Raw genomic sequence first — 20,093 nt, forward strand, 5'->3', positions numbered from 1 at the left:
AAGAAATGAATACATTCTTTATGAACTTTTTCTGTAAATCTGCTGGCGGGATTAAAGTATTAGATAGAGTATTTAACTAGAAGACCCCTCTAAAGTTACCCAAGATGGGAATAGAGAATGAACAAGAGAGAGAACTTTGCCCCTGGCAAGGGGCAGTTTTGCAGGCTTTGTAACCCATCGTAAAGGGTTAGAACTTTGCCTTGTAGTCAATAAAGGAAGCATAGAAGGGATTAATAAGCAAGTAAGTGACATGATCAAATTCACTCTTTAGAAAATTCATTTAGGGTGCAGAGTTAAAGATGGATTGGGAGAAGGAAAAGATGAAGCTGTTGCCATAATCTAGAGGTGAGGTGACATGTCTTTCTGGACTTAGTTTCCAGCACAGGCACAGAGCACAGTAAGTGATTATAGATGTTTGAATATATGCTTGACTAGACAAAGCTAAAAGGATTTCCAAGCAGTAGTAAACATAGAAAAGTGACAGATGCACTAAACTTAAAGTCAGTGACACACAACAATCAAAAGGTAAATACACCCATTTAAAATGGGCATAGGGCTTGAGTAGACATTTCACCAAAGAAGACAGAAAAACAACCAATAAGCACGTGAAAAGATACTCAACATTATTCATCACTAGGGAAATGCAAATCAAAACCACCCTCAGATACCATTTCACACTCTCAAGGCTGCCTATAATCAAAACAAGAAGTATTAGCCAGATGTGGAGAAATTTGAGCCTTCATTCGCTGCTGGTGAGAACGTAAAACAGTTTAATAGTTCCTTAGAATATTAAGCATCGTTACATAAACCAGCAGTTTCACTCCCAGGTGTATACCAAAGAGAAATGAAAAAAATCTGTCCACATAAAAACTTATATATGAATGATCATAATAGCATAATACATAATAGCCAGAAAGAAGAAAAAATCCAACTGCTCGCCAACTAATGAATAAACAAAATGTAGTGTGTCCATACAATGAAAATTTCAGCCATAAGAAGGTAGCACTAATACGTGTGATAACCTGGATAAGCCTTGAAGACATGCTAAGTGAGAGAAGCCAGACACAAAAGTACCCATATTGTAAAGTAGCATTTATGTGAAATGTTCAGAACAGACAGACCCAAAGGAACTCAAACCCAAAGAGTTCCCCAAAGAGGTTAGCAGTTGCCGGGGCGAGGGCGTGGAGGCGGTAGGGAGTGGCCGCTCATGGTACTTTTTGTGGCATGTTAAGAATGTGCTGAAATTAGGTAGTGTCAGTGATTGCAGAACTCTGGGAATGCAGTAAAAACCGCTGAGTTGTATACTTTGAAAGGGCCAATTTTATGACATGGGAATTGTATCTCAATAAAGCTGTTATTTAAAAAAACCATTTATGCAAACTTTTATAGACTTCTTAACTATTTTACAGTCACTTTCATCAGAAGTAATAACGCAAAAATTCAAACACCCAGGAGGTTACACATTCTGTGTTAAGAACACAGACTTTGAAATCAAGCAGACTGAGTGGAAACCCAGTTCCATCCCGTAGAAACTGTGTGACGTTGGACAAATGACGTAACTTCTCTGAACCTTTAATCATCTCTAAAATGTAAATAATACCTATCAGACATGTTATAAAGGTGAAATGAGACAACAGAGAAAAAAGTCCTAAGCTAAAGTACGGACATGAATTATTATCCAGGGTATTGTTATTCTTTACTGTGCCAAGACAATGACCCAGCCCCCTGAAGGTATTACAGTTTTATAGCACATTCTAGGTGGTTGACATAAATTGCCATGTTTATGTTTCCTTAGTGAGCACATATATTAACGTTTGAAAAGTATGTTGAGGCCAAGCACAGTGGCTCAAACCTATAATCCCAACACTTTGGGAGGCGGAGGCAGGAGCATGGCTTGAAGCCAGGAGTTCAAGACCAGCCTGGGCAATATAACAACACCCCGGTTCTACAAAAATAAAAAAAGTAGCCGGGTATGGGGGCACACGCTTGTAGTCCCAGCTACTTCGGAGGCTGGTAGAAGGATCTCTTTAGCCCAGGAATTTGTGGCTATGGTGAGCTTTGATTGTGCCACTGCCATCCCTGCCTGGGCAACAGAGTGAGCCCTATCTCTTAAAAAACAGGTGGGGCGCGGTGCCTCATGCCTGTAATCCCAGCACTTTTGGAGGCCGAGGTGGGCGGATCACGAGGTCAAGAGTTCGAGACCAGCCTGACCAACATGGTGAAACCCCATCTCTAATAAAAATACAAAAATTAGCTGGGCATGGTGGTGGGCACCTGTAATCCCAGCTACTCAGGAGGCTGAGGCAGGAGAATCGCTTGAACCCGGGAGGTGGAGGTTACAGTGAGCAGAGATCATGCCATTGCACTCCAGCCTGGGCGACAGAGCGAGACTGTCTCAAAAAAAAAAAAAAAAAAAAAGAAAAAGAAAAGAAAGGAAAGGAAGGAAGGAAGGAAGAGTGCAGATGCTGGGAGGCGCCTTGCACTAAGGCGGCTTTCATACTGTGCGTAGGAGCTTCGGTTTCTCACATTTAGAACCTAAAGCCATTGAAGGTAGAGCTCTAATATTTTGTATTATTTTTTAAATTGCTCATAAGAACTGAGCTCATTTTCAAGAAATACCTCAACCTATAAAGCATAAATAAAAGGCATAAGCACCAAAAATTCACGAGCTCTAAGGAACCATTCTGGTGAATGCATTCTTCAAAAAAGTAGTGCGTTTAATCAGAGGAGCAGTAAGTTCAGGTTTGCATGCTGTATCTGACACCTTTGTGTGGCCCGTGGATATAAGCAGATGTGAAGCAGAAAAGAGGGAAAGACTGGAGAATTGTTGGTTTGGAAATAAGAAATATGGAAAGCCTGGAAAAAGCACAGTTGTCGGGATAAGGAGGAGAGAGGAGGAAGGACATGTTTGGGTTAAGTGATCAAGCTGGGGCCGTACGCGGAGTGAGGGAGGGAGGAGGAGGAGCAGACAGGCAGGAGGATCCTGAGGTATTCAGCTTGCTGGAGTGAATGGATTGAGATGCGGTTGAAGGAGATGGGAACTGGGAATGCAGGAAGAGAAGCCAGAAGGGGAGACTGCATGACAGTTCGGCTGAAGATAAGAATTATTCTGAAATGGCAGTTGTGCATGTTGGAAAAATAAATCACCATGGAAATGAGCCTGATCAAATTTGACTAGGGAAACTGAGAGTTGTACAGAACTCTCATTCCAAAATGTTATCAAGTCCTTAAGATAATTTAACTCTGTGTTGCAAAATAGGTAGACATAAACAGAGAGGAAAACAGTATTTTCATACAGAACAATGAAGAGGAAGTACTAGATTTAATTGGACACACGCTTCTCACATTTAAAGATGGGGAGGAGATAATGGTGTCCCTTTGTGTCCTTCCCAAAGAAATATGGGGAACTGATAATGCCTCACATAAGTCTTAAAGGAAGAAAATGTAGAGCATGCACTTTTGCAGATCACTCTCTCATTAACAAACAAGCTCAGAAGAAATGTGGTCTCAATGAAATGCTTCCTTTCTTGGAGCTTAAATACGGTCAAATCTAAATATCTAAGAAATCAGGAAGTTTGACATCTTTAACCACTAAAGATTAAGACAAATTTTTTACATGTAAAGTTTTATCTGGATATAGGGACTTCCTGATCAAGGAAATAGTTGAAAGGAATAAAAAAAAACAACTGAGTCACAGAACATTCCATCAATGAATTATTGTCCAGGTTTGTTCAGAAGTGGTGACACTAATATTATTTTGCTCAAAGTAAATAAACTGCATTGCTGACTACATAAAGAGAGAGAAGTTGTACCTTTTTGCTTACCTCTGTTTTCCCGATGCCTAGTGTAAGTTGTCTAGCACGTAGTAAGCAGACAGAAACTAACTACATATGTGGAATGAATGTACGTGGGAAAGATCAATTCTGAAACGTGTATAGACGAGAAGTAACAAATATTCTTAAAATAGTACAAGAACTCATCATTCATTCATCAAATTCGTTTTAATATAAATTCTTTATTGAAATATTAGAGACAGAAAATAAGTCATAAATGCTCTTATATTCCCCTTACCTGCTTCCAAACTTTACCTTCCCTACCGCAAAAGATAATCTTTCTACTAACCTCTAACGCCATATTTGCTGTTGATGGCATCTGAGAAGTCTCCAGTTTTCAGCTATTACTAACAGTGCTGTGATGAATATTTTGTTTTTTTGGTTTTATTTTGTTTTAGAGGAGGGGTCTCACTGTCACTCAGACTTGGATGCAGTGGCATGATTATGGCTCACGGAAGCCTGGATCTCCTGGGCTTAAGTGATCCTCCCACTTTAGCCGCCCAAGTAGCTGGTACTACAAGCACACACCACCACACCCAGCTAATTTGAAAAAATTTTTTAGAGATGGGGTCTCTCTCGCCATGTTGCCCAGGCACATCCTGAATTCCTGAGCTCAAATGATCATCCTGCCTCAGCCTCAAAACGTGCTGGGATCACAGGTGTGAGTCACCATGCCCAGCCTCTTCTGTATATAACTAGAATTGCCCGTTCTTTGGATGTATATATGATCAGCTTTAAAGGATATTTTTGAACAGTTTTCCAAAGCAAGAGAGGAAATTCCTCTAAAGCATTTTCTTAAGTGATGAATAGGAGCTTTCTAATGCATTCTTTGCCGTTTTCACAGTGTGGACATTGACATTCATGGTGCAAAAGCAATGATGGATAAACCAGTTGGTGCCTTAGAACGAATCAAGCCAGTGGCACCAAACTGTCTTAGTAGTCATTACATACTAGTAGTCACTGCCATGTATCAAAGCAAACAAGAGCCAGTTTTATTTTTTGAATGTCTTGATGATGTCGGTTTAAAAATAAATAAATAGAAATTTTAAAACTTGAAATGTTTTAATGAAGCACTAAAAAGAGTCAGTTTTACTACATCTCAGCCCTTGAGTTCACATTATTATGAAGTATTTTTTAATATTTTCTCTGGTGAAACGGACATACGCATAAAGCGTATCTGTTGCATGCCCAAGTACCCAAGTACAACAAATGTATCAAAGAATAGAATCTATGAAATTGGTGGACTTGAGAGCTGACTTAGCTGATTTTTTTCATGGAACATAAATTTTACTCGAAAGAATGACGAAGATGCTGGGTATGGTTATTCAGATTGGGGTGTCTCTCAAAAATATACAGACATACTCTTAGAAACAAGTGAAATGGGCCTGTGATCTCAAAGAAAAAACTGTTTTTGGTCAGGGATAGAATTTGAGTTTTCACAAGAAAACTAGAAATTTTAAAAATTTTAAAAACTTGAATCTATCACTGTGAACTTCGCAGCTTGCCCGTACTTTAAAATTTTCTGATAAGATTATCATGTTGTTTTATGAATATAATTTTTCAACATTATCTACTGAAATATGTCAACATTTGGAAGATCTGAATAACTCAGTGAACCAATATTTTCAATGTATCATATTACAAAATTATACATGAGGAGAGATCCATTAAAAGTGCAAGAGATAGGCCAGGTGTGGTGGCTCACACCTGTAATCCCAGCACTTTAGGAGGCCGAGGTGGTTGGATCATGAGGTGAATAGATCGAGACCATCCTGGCTAACACGGTGAAAACCCATCTCTACTAAAAATATAAAAAATTAGTCAGGCGTGGTGGCGAGCGCCTGTAGTCCCAGTTACTCAGGAGGCTGAGGCAGGAGAATCGCTTGAACCCAGGAGGTGGAGGTTGTGGTGAGCCGAGTTCATGCCACTGCACTCTAGCCTGGCAACAGAGCGAGACTCCATCTCAAAAAAAAAAAGACCTACACCTGTAAAGGTTTGGTGTAGATTCAAAGAGTATCCACAGGTATCTGAAACAGCTATTAAAATACTGTATGAGGCTGGCTTTTCTTCATATACTTCACTCAGTCAACATATCAAAACGGATTGAATACAGAAGCAGATATGAGAATCCGGCTGTCTTCTGTAAATCCTAAGTGACAGTTCCATTGTCATAAAAGAGGACACATAGAATAATTTTTCCAGAAACTCCAAGGTCAAAATCTATATTTTAAATGTGCCTAATGTACTTCTAAAGTAAGAGTTCTTACTTTGATTAGTTAAATCAGAAAAAATTTTTATTCATATTCAAAATAGTATAAATATATAAAAATGTTAAAGGCATAGCCAATTATTGATCACAGAAGTGACATGATACAGTCGTTTGTTACAAATCTGAGTGATTATTTACAAATCTTTAGAGTTGTTGTCTGATAGGACTCAGTACGGCAGTTGGAGTGTAGCTGAAAGTAGGATAAAGCAGGTGGATATGTGCAGATGATAGAAATATGGAGATGGTAGAATCAATAATAAAAATATCACAAAACAAGCTCCGTGATCCTACTTTAGCTGTTAAACTTTTGTTGTTGTTGTTGTTACTGAGACGGAGTCTCACTCTGTCGCCCAGCTGTTCTCAGCTCACTGCAACCTTCACCTCTGGGGTTCGAGTGATTCTCCTGCCTCAGCCTCCCAAGTAGCTGGGACTACAGGGGGGGCACCACCACGTCCAGCTAATTTTCTGCTAAACTTTTTGAAATGAGAGGCCCATGGTAAAGTAGATATCAACATAAGGCTTGTTGAGTGACTGATTAATTCTAGATTATTATTCTCATTTATTGGCACAAAAACAATTACACATTGCTTTCTATTTGGCTCCTCTGGTGCCCTTACCACCACTGCACAGTTCCTACATATGCCGTGATTCTTAACCTTTGGAGCTTGAGTAATTACCCCTAAATCCCTCTCTTAAAAATCTTGGGGGCCAGGCACAGTGGCTCACACCTATAATCCCAGCACTTTGGGAGGCCGAGGAAGGTGGATCACCTGAGGTCGGGAGTTCGAGACAGGCCTGACCAACATGGAGAAACCTCGTCTCTACTGAAAATACAAAATTAGCCAGGCTTGGTGGTGCATGCCTATAATCCCAGCTACTCAGGAGGCTGAGGCAAGAGAATTGCTTAAACCCGGGAGGCGGAGGTTGCGGGTTCAAGCAACCTCAAGCCTGGGCAACAAGAGCGAAACTCTGTCTCAAAAAAAGAGAAAAGAAAGTTCCTTGGCCTTTTCTTGTGTTTCTTGACCTTGACATTTTTTGAGGAGTCCAGGCCAGTTATTTTGTAGAATGTGTCAGTTTGGGTTTGTGCGATGTTTCCTTGGGATTAGATTCAGGTTGTGCATTTTTGGCAGAAATACAACTATAGTGATGTTGTCACCTTCACCATGCATCGAATCAAAGGGACATGATGGCGATGGCTTCCAAGGTGATGTTCTCTTTGAGCACTTGGTAAGGTGGTGTCTGCTTAATTTCTCGACAGGCAAGTTACTGTTTTTCCTTTGTTATTGATAAGCAACTTCTGGGGGATACTTGGAGACTACGCATATATCCTGTTCTTTATCATGCTTTCACCCAATAGTACCCACTGATGAACATATTGTGTATACATGAAATAATAATAAACTATTATCACTGATAGAAGGAACATATTGTGTATACATGTAATAATAATGAACTATTATGACTTCTTAAAGCAGGTTGTTCATTGTTTCCTGAGTATAAATAAATCAGAAATGAATGGCTTTAATTTTCTGTAAAATATGTTTACTTAGAAAATAATAGAAAATGTCCTTTACAAAATGAGTTCTAGGGTTTTATTGAACAAAATGTGTTTGCAAAACACTGTGGGGTGAAAAGAGTATGACCCCTTACTTCCCCATCATAACGCTCCTGGCTGACACTCCCGTAATAAAAGACAGGTTAACAAGAGAAAAGCATAACATATTTATTTGATCAAAGTTTTTTTTTACGTGACAAAGGAACCTTCAGAAATGAAGCCCCAGAGGTCCCCAGAAAACTGTCTGTTTTTATGCTTAGGCTGGGTGATTAGGGGACATCTTTGTAGAAATGTGAGTGAACAAAAGGGGAAGCTCTAATGCTAACAGACTGAGTGCAGACACCCAGCAAGGCCTGTCTGTTCAGATTCTTCTCAGCCTCTCCCTGCAGCATGCAGCATCCCTTCCTCCTGGGTATGGGGCAGGGCCCTTCTGGAATGCGGGTTTATGACCTCCGTGCAGGCAAAATAGACCAGATAGTTTCTTTATGGCCAACTCTTACACAGAAAGGCAGGGGAAGATTGGAGTAATTTTTTTTTAGGTTTTAAGGCTAGCTTTCAGGGAGAATGGTTCTGGTTTCTATGGACTTGCCTTGGGGAAGAGGGATTTTAGTTTCCTTGTTTGTTTGTTTGTGTTTTGAGATGGAGTCTCACTCTGTTGCCCAGGCTGGAGTGCAGTGGCACAATCTCAGCTCACTCCAACTTCTGCCTCCCAGGCTTAAGTGGATCTTCTGCCTCAACCTCCCGAATAACTGGGATTACAGGCATGCGCCACCACAGCCGGCTAATTTTTGTATTTTTAGTAGATACCAGGTTTTGCCATGTTGGACAGGCTGGTCTCGAACTCCTGACCTCAGATGATCCACCCGCCTCGGCTTCCCACAGTGTTGGGATTACAGACATGAGCCACCGCACCCGGCCCTAGTTTCCTAGTTTCTATGGTCGGCCTTGGGGGAGAAAGTTTAGCAGGAGGAGGAAGGCGAGGAGAAGGTCAGAAACTTTGCTTCTGAGGCCCTCCAAGGCCCTCCCAGGCCCTTTGCTCCAAGTCCTCAGCAAGCCAGAGGACGTCTTCTGAGCCCAACAACAGTTTAAGGCATTCCAAAATTAGAAGAGCAATCAGGCACCCAACCATACTAAAAGCGTGTTTATATTTTCGCATATTTTCCAATCCATTGAACAAACAAGCAAACAAACAAAAGAACTGGTGTGTAGAGTGAAAGGAGCGTTAGTGTGTATAATATCTGTGGACAGAATAGTCGTCTGAACTGAATCTACAGCAAAACTACAAAGCTGTGATATTGTGACTCCGAGAAAGTGCAGATTTCATATTCCAGTAAGATTTATTGAATGCCCGTTGCCTGCTAAGCATTTCATACATAAGCATATTCACACACAGCACCTTATTTTGTTATCATAACTCTATAGGGCAATGGTATTATGCTATTCTTCCACTCAAGAGAACTTTTCAGAGGTTCATTTACTTAACAAATCATAACTGCCACATCCCAGGTGCTTTGTTAAGCTCTGGGAATGCAACCTGGAAGAAGACAGATCTGGTTCCTCTCACTTTCTAAGCCCAGTTATAACATGCTGGGCCCATGATTTTACTCAACAGTAAAATCGAGGTTTACGCTGTGTGCTAAGAGAGGCATCCAAACCAAACGTGTGGACTCAGGGGAGGCTTTGCTGATGGAACTTCTAATTAGGCTGGGAAATGAAAGACGACAGGAAGCTGGGTGAGGAGGGGGGATGGTGGTGGAGGGAGGACCCAAATATTCCAGGCAGAGGGAACGTTGTCTCAAAAAAATAAAAATAGAAATAAAAAAGGCTTCTGTTGGGCACGATGGTTCAAGCCTGTAATCCCGGCACTTTGAGAGGGTGACGTGGGCGGATCAGGAAGTCAGGATATCGAGACCATCCTGGCCAACATGGCAAAACCCCCCATCTCTACTAAAACTACGTGGTGGCACATGCCTGCAATCCCAGTTACTTGGGAGGCTGAGGCAGGAGAATCGCTTGAACCCAGGAGGCAGAGTTTGCAGTGAGCCGAGATCACGCCACTGCACTCCAGCCTGGTGACAGAGCAAGACTCCATCTCAAAAAAAAAAAAAGAAAAAGAAAAAGCGCCTCAGGCTGTCCCAGCATTTTCATTCAAAAAGGAGCTTTGAGAGACAGCCAGGTGGCTAGTGACGGGCTAGCAGAGGCAGAGAGGGCTGCACCTTTTCTACCACAGTTTAACATTGCTCAGAGATTGCGTGTCTAACCTCAGGAAGGTTTTGACATAGTTTACACTGATTTTACTTTGTTCACTTCAGGATGGAAAGGATGGCAGAGTCTCTGCTGCATCCAGGATAGTATGAATCATTAAAATGCTGAAACCACTTTCAGCAGTGTATTCTAGTCCTGGCCGGAAGTCACTAACCTAGCTGAAACATCAAATATTATGGTAATTTGGTCTGAGAATAAATAATAGATTATGTTAATACAGACAGGGATGAGATAATGAGAAACAGGCTACTTAAGAAGCATATTGAGTGGTTTATTTGTGAATCAAAAAGAAGCAAGGAAATTGCATTAAAAGAAAAACTGACCCTGGAGTCACTCTTTTAGGTGACCTTAATATTCCATAAATTATAAGTTAAGATAAATGAAACAAAAGCTCTATATTATGAAGAGTGAAATTATTTTGTAATTCTGACAGAAAACTAAGTATTCTAACATTTTACTGAAGAAAAGCCTGTTGATCATTCTCATTTCCCGCCACAGAACACGTATACCCTTTGCCAACACTTACTGAGCAGTTACTATGTGCGGTTACTAAGGTCTAATGTTTTGTTTTGTTTTTTTTTGAGACAGGGTCTCACTCTGTTGCCCAGACTAGAGTGCAGTGGCGTGACCTCCGCTCACTACAGCCTCAACCTCCCAGGCTTAAACAATCCTCCTGCCTCTGCCTCCCAAGTAGCTGGGACCGCAGGCACGCCATCACACCTGGCTAATTTTTCTACCTGTTTAGCAACAGGGCCTCACTATGTTACCTAGGCTGGTCTTGGACTCCTAGGCTCAAGCGATCCACCTGCCTCAGCCTCCCCAAGTGCAGGGATTACAGGTGTGAGCCACCATGCCCAGCCTAACTCTTTACATCCACGCATATACTACCTTAAACATCTTTGCCATGCGAGAATGTAGATACCACTTGTATAGATTGGGAAACTGAGGCACATGATGGTTGAATAATTTGCCAGAGGAAACAGAGCTGGCAGGCTGAAGGGCTTCAGACCAAAACTTCTCTGACCTCATTTGGTAGCAAAACATATGCAAAGCTTTCTACAATCTTTACATACCCCATTAAGTATGAATACTTATACATTCTCCTGCAGAAATATGTATAATCATAATATACTGCCCCAAATCCCTCTTAGGAGAACTGATAGATGGTGTGTGGATTGTCTCCTGTCTCTAAAAAACACTCTGAGGCCAGGTGCGGGGGCTCACGCCTGTAATCCCAGCACTTTGGGAGGCCAAGGAGGGCGGATCACGAGGTCAAGAGATGGAGACCAGCCTGGCCAACATGGTGAAACCCTGTCTCCACTAAAAATACAAAAGTTAGCTGGGCGTGGTGACACACACCTGTAGTCCCACCTACTCAAGTGAGGCAGGAGAATCACTTGAACCTGGGAGGCAGAGGTTGCAGTGAGCTGAGATTGCACCACTGCACTCCAGCCTGAGCAATACAGCAAGACTCCGTCTCAAACAAAACAAAACAGAAAAACACTGTGAATTCTAAATATCTGACCTCAGGGGTTTTGGAAAAGGCATTTTGGTCCTTTGCAATTTATACACCAACAAATAATGAATTAATATAGTAACATAATAATTTATTTAGTATACCCTTTAAATTTAATACTTGCATTTTCCAGATATCAATATAAAGAAATTGGCAAACCTCAAATAAAATTCAATTGGCGTGTTTTAGAGACAGTTATGCTGCTCTTGTGGGCCGCTGCCTGAAATCCAGGTGGCTGCCTGCTGGTAGTCTGGAGTGTAGTGTCTCCAGAATGTAAAGCACTGAACAAAGCAAGGACATCATGAGACATCCTGTTTGAATATTTTGTCTGCAATTTAGTGAACTGTGTGATCCTCAGCAAATTACCAGGTGACTCTGTAACACTGTGATAACAGTTTATGTGTCCAGGTTATTGTGACTATTGAATAAGATGATGTGGGTCTTTACACCTGGCCTCTTCATGGGCATGTCGTAAATTGTAGCAATTATTAAGCTAGATAATTATACATAGGGATAATACTTTTCTATCAAAGCAAATAATAGGCACTAGCTAAATGTCTCCATGAAAGCTAAGTATGATAAAATACACAGGAAGCATCTCCAACATGAAAAGTACCCTTAGTGCTTTGTAAGATAACAGTTCCCACAGTCATAGAGCTTACCTTTTGGAAAGGCGGAAGTTGAAAAATGACTTTTTTTTTTTTTTCAGACGAAGCTTCGCTCTTGTCCCCCAGACTGGAGTGTGATTTTGCAATCTCAGCTCACTGCAACCTCCGCCTCCTGGGTTCGAGCGATTCTCTTGCCTCAGCCTCCCGAGTAGCTGAGATTACAGGCACCTGCCACCACGCCTGGCTAATTTTTTTGTATTTTTAGTAGAGATGGGGTTTCACCATGTTAGCCAGGCTGGTCTCGAACTCCTGACCTCGTGGTCTGCCTGCCTCGGCCTCTCAAAGTGCTGGGATTACAGGCGTGAGCCACTGTGCCCGGCCGAGAAATGATTTTATTATGTAGCTTTGAAATGAGTTCAAACACGTAATTTGCTACATGAGTGACTTAACGTTTTCCTGTGATAAAAACATGGAGTGTAATCTTCCCCACGAGAATGCTGGGTCACACTTTATCAGGCCACATATGTGTTGCTGGCTTCAACCTCTAGACCCCAAACACAGAAAATGTGAGATTTTGACAGGCACATTGAGAGTTCAGGCTGTGGCAAGAATACTGTCTGCCAACCTTCAGGCAAGTCTCTGAAGCCGTACCCACCAACACTGGCACCACTGGCTGGCATCAGGGGCCTTGTGTCATGGTGGATCTATGCTGCATTGCTGAAATTCACTCTCCAAAGAACCTCTCCTAGAAAGGGACACCTCCTAGAAAGAGACACCTCACACTTGCATTCAACTGTACGGCTACAGAGGCCTTCTGCCATCCTAACTGACCAACTAGACTTTAATAAAATTAGAACTCACTTACTCTGTGGTTAATGGACCTCCCTCCTCCATGGAGTGGATTCCCTGTGAGAGCTGTTCTCATTATTCTCCCCCTTTTGAGCACTGAAATAAACAACAACAAAAGCTACAAAAAAAAACCTCTTTACATGGCAATAAACTGTGATTCATGAAATTATACTTTGTTCATCTCATTTCAATCATAAAAAACACTTTAAAAAGCAAGTTTAGCCGGGCGCAGTGGCTCACACCTGTAATCCCAGCACTGCACTTTGGGAGGCCGAAGCAGGTGGATCACCTGAGGTCAAGAGTTCGAGACCAGCCTGAGCAAGGCGGTGAAACACTGTCTCTACTAAAACTACAAACTTAGCTGGGCATGGTGGCGGGTGCCTGTAATCCCAGCTACACGGGAAGCTGAGGCAGCAGACTCGCTTGAACCCGGGAGGCAGAGGTTGCAGTCAGCAGAGATTGTACCATTGCACTGCAGCCCGGGTGACAAGAGTGAAACTCCATCTCAAAACAAACAAACAAACAAACAAATAAATAAAAAATAAAACGCAAGTTTAAATGAATATGAGAAGATGGTAAGTGCTATGCAGAGAAAAAGAAAAAGCAGAACTGGCTTGGAATAGGTGTTGAGGGAGCGGGCAGCATGAGTGACAAAGGTGACAGGTGGTAAATATAGGCCTCAATACAAAAGTGAAGTCGGATCTGAGACTGGAAGGAAGTGAGGACCTAGTGAGTATCAGTAGAAAGTGTTCCAGGCAAGGACTGTCCAGGGCAAAGGCCCTAAGGCAAGAATTGCCGGCTATGTTGATTCACCATCAAAAGCATGCCCAGAGCCCTGAGCCAGGTGGGGGAATTGGGGGAGATAGTAGAGTAGATGGGTTCAGAGACCTGGGAGTGTGGAGATCCAGAGAACCACACAAGACAGTACCGGCACTTCTGACAGTTTCTTTGTTATGTACCTGTGCTTCCATTTGAAATCGTCCGGCCCAGGGGTCAGCAAACTTTTTCTATAAAGGGCCAGATCATGAGTATTTTTTTTTTTTTGAGACGGAGTTTTGCTCTTGTTGCCCAGGCTGGAGTGCAATGACGGGATCTCGGCTCACCGCAACCTCCAACTCCCGGATTCAAGCCATTCTCCTGCCTCAGCCTCTGGAATAGCTGGGATTACAGGCATGCGCCACCATGCCTGGCTAATTTTGTATTTTTAGTAGAGACAGGATTTATTCATGTTGGTCTGGCTGGTCTCGAACTCAGGACCTCAGGTGATCCACCTGCCTCGGCCTCCCAAAGTGCTGGGATTACAGGCATGAGCCACTGCGCTCGGCGATCATGAGTATTTTTAAACGTTATGGTTCATATGATCTCTGTTGCAGCTACTGAACTCAGCTACTATAGTGTGAAAGCCATAGGCAGTTATGTAAGTGAATGAGCATGATTCTGTTTCAGGAAAACTTTATTTACAAAAACAGGCACGGGGCCATGCTTTATCTGCCAGCCATAGTTTACCGACCCCTGCTTTGGCCTAACTTATAAACACAAGGAATTTTTCTCTCTGTTTTCTTCTAGACATTTTATAATCGTATTTATTCCTTTTTTATATATGAAGAGATTTATTCTGAGCCAAAACATGAGTGGCCAGTTGCCCATGTCACAGCCCTCGGGAGATCCTAAGGACATGGGCCCCTATTTTTTCATTTGGGTCTGTGGTTCATTTTGAGGTTATTTGTGTGAGTGTTAGCTAATGCTTGAGTTTATATAGAAAATATGTCTTATTTATATTTAACATATTTCTGGCCTATGGATATCTAATTGTTCAGCACTATTTGTTGAATGATTATGTTTTCCCTTTACCTTGACACTTCAGTCAAAAATCAATTGAGTGGGGCACAGTGGCTCACATCTGTAATCCCAGCACTTTGAGAGACCAAGGCAGACGGATCACTTGAGGTCAGGAGTTCGAGACCGGCCTGGTCAACATGGTGAAACCCTGTCTCTACTAAAAATACAAAAACTAGCCAGGCGTGGTGGCACGCACCTGTAGTCCTAGCTGCTCAGGAGGCTGAGGCAGGAGAATCGCTTGAATCTGGGAAGCAGAGGTTCCACTGAGGTTGCAGGTTGCACTCCAGCCTGGGCGACAGAGTCTCCAAAAAACAAAAAAGTCAACTAAACGTGTGCACCTGTGTGTGTGCGCACCTGTGTGTTTGCGCACCTGTGTGTGTGTGCCTGTGTGTGTGTGTGCGCACCTGTGTGTGTGCCTGTGTGCGCGCCTGTGTGTGTGCCTGTGTGTGTGCCTGTGTGTGCGCCTGCATGTGTGTGCACCTGTGTGTGTGCCTGTGTGTGTGCACCTGTGTGTGCATGCCTGTGTGTACGTGTGCACCTGTATGTGTGTGCCTGTGTGTACCCGCCTGTGTGCGTGTGCACCTATGTGTGTGCGCCTGTGTGTGTGCGCACCTGTGTATGTGTGCCTGTGTGTGCACCTGTGTATGTGCCCGTGTGTGCCTGTGTGTGTACACCTTTGTGTGTGCCTCTGTGTGTGTTTACGTGTGTGCGCCTGTGTGTGTGCATGTCTGTGCCTGTGTGTGCCTGTGTGTGTGCCTGTGTGTGTGTGCGCCTTTGTGTGTGCCTCTATGTGTGTTTACGTGTGTGTGTGCCTGTGTGTGCGCCTGTGTGTGTGCGCCTTTGTGTGTGCCTCTGTGTGTGTTTACGTGTGTGTGTGCGCCTGTGTGTGTGTGCATGTGTGTGTATTTGTCTCTCTATTTTGGACTCTCTATTTTGCTCTATTGATTTCTATGTTGATTCTTACACAAATACAACACTGTCTTGATTACTGTATCTTTATGGTAAGTCTTTTTTTTTTTCGGAGTCTCACACTGTCGCCTGGGCTGGAGTGCAATGGCACGATCTCGGCTCACCGCAACCTCCGTCTCCCAGGTTCAAGCGATTCTCCTGCCTCAGCCACCCAAGTAGCTGGGATTACAGGCGCCCACCACCACGCCCAGCTAATTTTTTGTATTTTTACTGGAGATGGGATTTCACTATGTTGGCCAGGCTGGTCTCAAACTCCTGACCGCGTGATCCACCTGCCTCGGCCTCCCAAAGTACTGGGATTAAAGGCATGAGCCACCTTGCCCAGCCTATGGTAAATCTTGACATTAGGTAATCTAAGTCTTTTAACTTTGTTCTTATTTAAAATTGTTTTGGCTATTCTGTGTCCCTTCATTTACATATATGTTTTAGGGGCAGCTTACCAATTTCTACAAAAAAACACTGTTGGGATATTGATGTGGATTATATTGAATCTATAGATCAATTTGAGAAGGGTTTAGTTCTTAACAAGGATCTATTAGATAGGATAACAAATGTACAAACCATAAAAGAAAAAAATGATGAATTGCACTTCACCATAATTAAAAAGGCACAACTCCAAAATGGCAAACCATAATCTGGAAGAAAATATATGCAAAACATAAATCTAATAAAGGACTTGTATCCAAAATACATAAAGCGCTTTTATAACTCAATAATAAAAAAAATCAACCTAATTAAAAACTGGGCAAAGGATTTGAATAGACAATTCACAAATGAATATATATAAATGGCAAACAAGTACATATAAAAGCATACTCAACATCATTAGTTATTGGGAAAATGCAAATTAAAATTACAGCGAGATACCACTACGTAGCCACTACAATGGCTGAATTTTAAGCGGCTGACAATGCCAAGCTTTGTCAAGAGTATGAGACAACTGGAACTCTCACAAATTGCTAGAGGGAATGCAAAATGAAAAGTATGCAGTTTCTTAAAAAGTTTACCCTCTCCTCCTGTATGGCCCAGCAAACCTGCTGCTAGGTACTCAACCAACTGAAATGAAAACATGTTCACACAAAGACATGCCCTGTGATGTTCATTGCAGCTTTATTCCAAATTGCCAAGAACTGGAAACAACCCAAATGTCCATCAGCTGGCGAATGGATAAACACATTACCCTATGTACATACAATGCAATACTCCTGAGCCCTCAAAAGGAATAATTCACTACTACATATAACAACCTAAACAAATCTCACATGCATTTGCTAAGTGAATGAAGCCATACACAAAAGGGCACATACTATGTGATTCCATTTAAATAAAAATGGATTGCAGAAAAGCAAGCCTACAGTTAGAGAAAGCAGATCAGTGGCTGCCAGAGACCATGAAAGTGGTGGTTGTGACAGGAGGATTAACTAGGAAGGGCATGAGGAGAGTTGGAGGGAGATGGAAGATGGACCTGTTCTACACTGTGACTTATTGTTAAATGATGCTTACATGTGTGGAAGCCGTTGAATCACAATAAGCAGGCAAGCTTTGATGGAGGCTTGAACCAGGGTGATAGGGAAAGGGAACTCACAATGAGTCATAGACACAAATGTTAAAATAAAACTAGTAAACATCTAGAAAAAAAAAACGAAAGAAAAGGCTGGGTGCGGTGGCTCATGCCTGTAATACCAACATTTTGGGAGGCCAAGGTGGGCAGATCACTTGAGGTCAGGAGTGCGAGACCAGCCTGGCCAACATGGTGAAACCCCATCTCTACTAAAAATACAAAAATTAGCCGAGCCTGGTTGCGCACACCTGTAATCCCAGCTACTCAGGAGGCTGAGGCAGGAGAATCTCTTGAACCTGAGAGGCAGGGGTTGCAGTGAGCCCCACTGCACTCCAGCCTGGGTGACAAGAGCGACACTCTGTCTCAAAAAAAAAAGAAAAAAGAAATCAGAAAGAAAAAAACCTTTCTGTTTATAAGTTAGGCCAAAGCAGGGGATTGGCAAACTACATCCAGCAGGTGAAACGTGGCCTCCGCCCTGTTTTTCCTAAATAAAGTTTTACCGAAACACTGGCCTTGCTTACTCACTTGCATAATGCCTATGGCTTTCTTGCTGCAGGACTGAGCTGAGCAGGTGAAAAGGGCTCAGATTCTCTGTTTTGAAGGTAGAGTCACAGGATCTGAAGGCTCGGGTGTAGAACATGAGTTTTGAGGATGATGTGCCACCCTCCTCGCTTCCTGCGGAAAGGACGGCCGTGGCTGAGCGCGGTGGGTGCGGGCCTTGATCCCGGACTGCGGTGTGTTGTCAGGTTTCTCCACCGTAAGATCCTTTTTCCACACCGCGCTCCTGGGAAGAAAGTCAGAAAGTGCAGCCCTTCCTTAGGCAAGCGGGAGTTTCGCTCCGGCTCTATCCACCCTGTTTTTAAAACTGAACATCGTACACATTCGAAAACAACTACAAATTCTCTTTCATTAGCTAATTTTATTTTATTGGTTCCTCTTGAAGTTAGATGATGTTATACATTCATGATCCCAGCCCAGAGCTCCTGATTCAGCCTAGCCAGGGTGAAACCCACCGGATTAACAAATGCCTCGTGTGATTCAGATGCAAATAGCCCATCAGCCCACTTCAGAAAGCTCCTCTCTAATCACTTACTAATGATAATTACTCTGAACTAGGACCTCTTTACGGAGGCTGAAGCTGTTTTTCTCTTGGTTAAGGTATTGTCATTAGTTTCCTGTCAGAGTCGGGGTCACCTCTCTGCCCTTGTCGGCCTGCCCAACAGTCACACAAGTTGAACGAATTCGGCAACCACCTCATTACTATTCATTGCCCATGCGGATATTCAAACGCAGCACACAGCTCTATCGCGGCTCCACTCCACGAAAAGTCCCAAGTATATACAAATAATTGTATAAAGTACTAAAAATGCACTTTAAATGAGTTCCACATCTCCAAGACACAGACAAACCAAGGCTATTGTCAAGAGTCCTTCTAGAAATGTGCCTTCAAAAGACACAAAAGGAAACAACGGGAGACATTCAACGAGGACAGTGGTTTCCTCCGACGAGGGGAATGGAAAGCCTGGCGCTGGGAGAGCTGCGCTCTTGACCCTCCTTTCCCTCTAACTCGCCCAGCCATCTAGGGAAATGCACTTCGTTTTTGCGCTTCAACCTCTTATCTGTAAAACATTAATAATAGGCCGGGCGCGGGGGCTCACGCCTGTAATCCCAGCAGTTTGGGAGGCCGAGGCGGGTGGATTGCCTGAGGTCAGGAGTTCGAGACCAGTCTGGTCAACATGGTGAAACCCCGTCTCTACTACAAATACAAAAATTAGCCGGGCATGGTGGTGCGCGCCTGTAATCCCAGCTACTGGGGAGGCTGAGGCAGGAGAATCGCTTGAACCCAGGAGGCGGAGGTTGCAGTGAGCCGAGATCGCGGCACCGCACTCCAGCCTGAGCCACAGAGTGAAACTCAGTCTCAAAAAAAAATAATAATAATAGCACCTGCCTGGTTTTACTTTGCGTAGATTTAGGATAAAATTAGACACTGCGTGCATCTGAGAAATACAGTTGTCACACAGATGTGAAGTTTTCTGTTTTTTGTTTTTTTCTAAAGCAGTCTTGTTTCAATAAAACCTTATTTACAACAACGGATTTTCTTTATTTCTTTACAAATACTCATGGGATCAAATAATTCAATTTTTAATTTTTAATATCATCATGATTCTATGCCCAGATCTAGGTTAAGGAAACAAAGTTGAAGAAACAAATTGCCTCTGATGTCCCAGCAGATAATGAAGTAGATCAAGATATACGACACACAAAATTATACACAAAACCTGTAGATTCTAGGAGTATTCCTATCAAGTTCTATTTAGTTGCTTAAAATAATTACCTTAGCATTCTAAAAATCTGTAAACAATATGGCATTTCTGAATATTTAACATTGGCCTTTTCAAAATGAAGTTCAATTACCATTTCCCCTGAGAAGCTGTAAGCCTGAGAGGGTCTCGTCTCCTGACACTACGGTTTTCAATCCTGGCTCGGCCGCTTACTGGCTGGTGATTGTGGGTGAGTTTCTATGCTCTTCAGTTTTCTCATCAGTAAAATAAAGATAAGAACAGCACCAACTTTGTGGGTTATCTGTGAGTAGTTAGTGTCCACATGTGCAGAAGTCTTTAGAACAGTGCTATATGTGTTTAATATTGTTATTTTTATTACTATCGGTTTTAAGGGATTAAGCAGCTGTTGAAACCAATGAGACTACTTTTTTTTCTTTTTCTTTTTCTTTTCTTTTTCTTTTCTTTTTCTTTCTTTCTTTTTTTTTTTTTTTTTTTTTTTTTTTTGTTTGAGACGGAGTTTCGCTCTTGTTGCCCAGGCTGGAGTGCA

General features: G+C 42.5%; 3 annotated features.

Annotated features, from left to right (window-relative positions):
- Positions 7,811–8,348: an enhancer, noted in NCBI's record as "H3K27ac-H3K4me1 hESC enhancer chr4:188942947-188943484 (GRCh37/hg19 assembly coordinates)". NCBI's record gives its function as "activates a minimal SCP1, AML or CMV promoter by ChIP-STARR-seq in naive H9 embryonic stem cells {active_cell/tissue: H9 hESC(naive)}" and the evidence as "EXISTENCE:reporter gene assay evidence [ECO:0000049][PMID:30033119]".
- Positions 17,929–18,450: an enhancer, noted in NCBI's record as "OCT4-NANOG-H3K27ac-H3K4me1 hESC enhancer chr4:188953065-188953586 (GRCh37/hg19 assembly coordinates)". NCBI's record gives its function as "activates a minimal SCP1, AML or CMV promoter by ChIP-STARR-seq in naive and primed H9 embryonic stem cells {active_cell/tissue: H9 hESC(naive and primed)}" and the evidence as "EXISTENCE:reporter gene assay evidence [ECO:0000049][PMID:30033119]".
- Positions 18,451–18,972: an enhancer, noted in NCBI's record as "OCT4-NANOG-H3K27ac-H3K4me1 hESC enhancer chr4:188953587-188954108 (GRCh37/hg19 assembly coordinates)". NCBI's record gives its function as "activates a minimal SCP1, AML or CMV promoter by ChIP-STARR-seq in naive and primed H9 embryonic stem cells {active_cell/tissue: H9 hESC(naive and primed)}" and the evidence as "EXISTENCE:reporter gene assay evidence [ECO:0000049][PMID:30033119]".

Source organism: Homo sapiens, chromosome 4 (genome assembly GCF_000001405.40).
Source record: "Homo sapiens chromosome 4, GRCh38.p14 Primary Assembly".
NCBI lineage: Eukaryota > Metazoa > Chordata > Mammalia > Primates > Hominidae > Homo > Homo sapiens.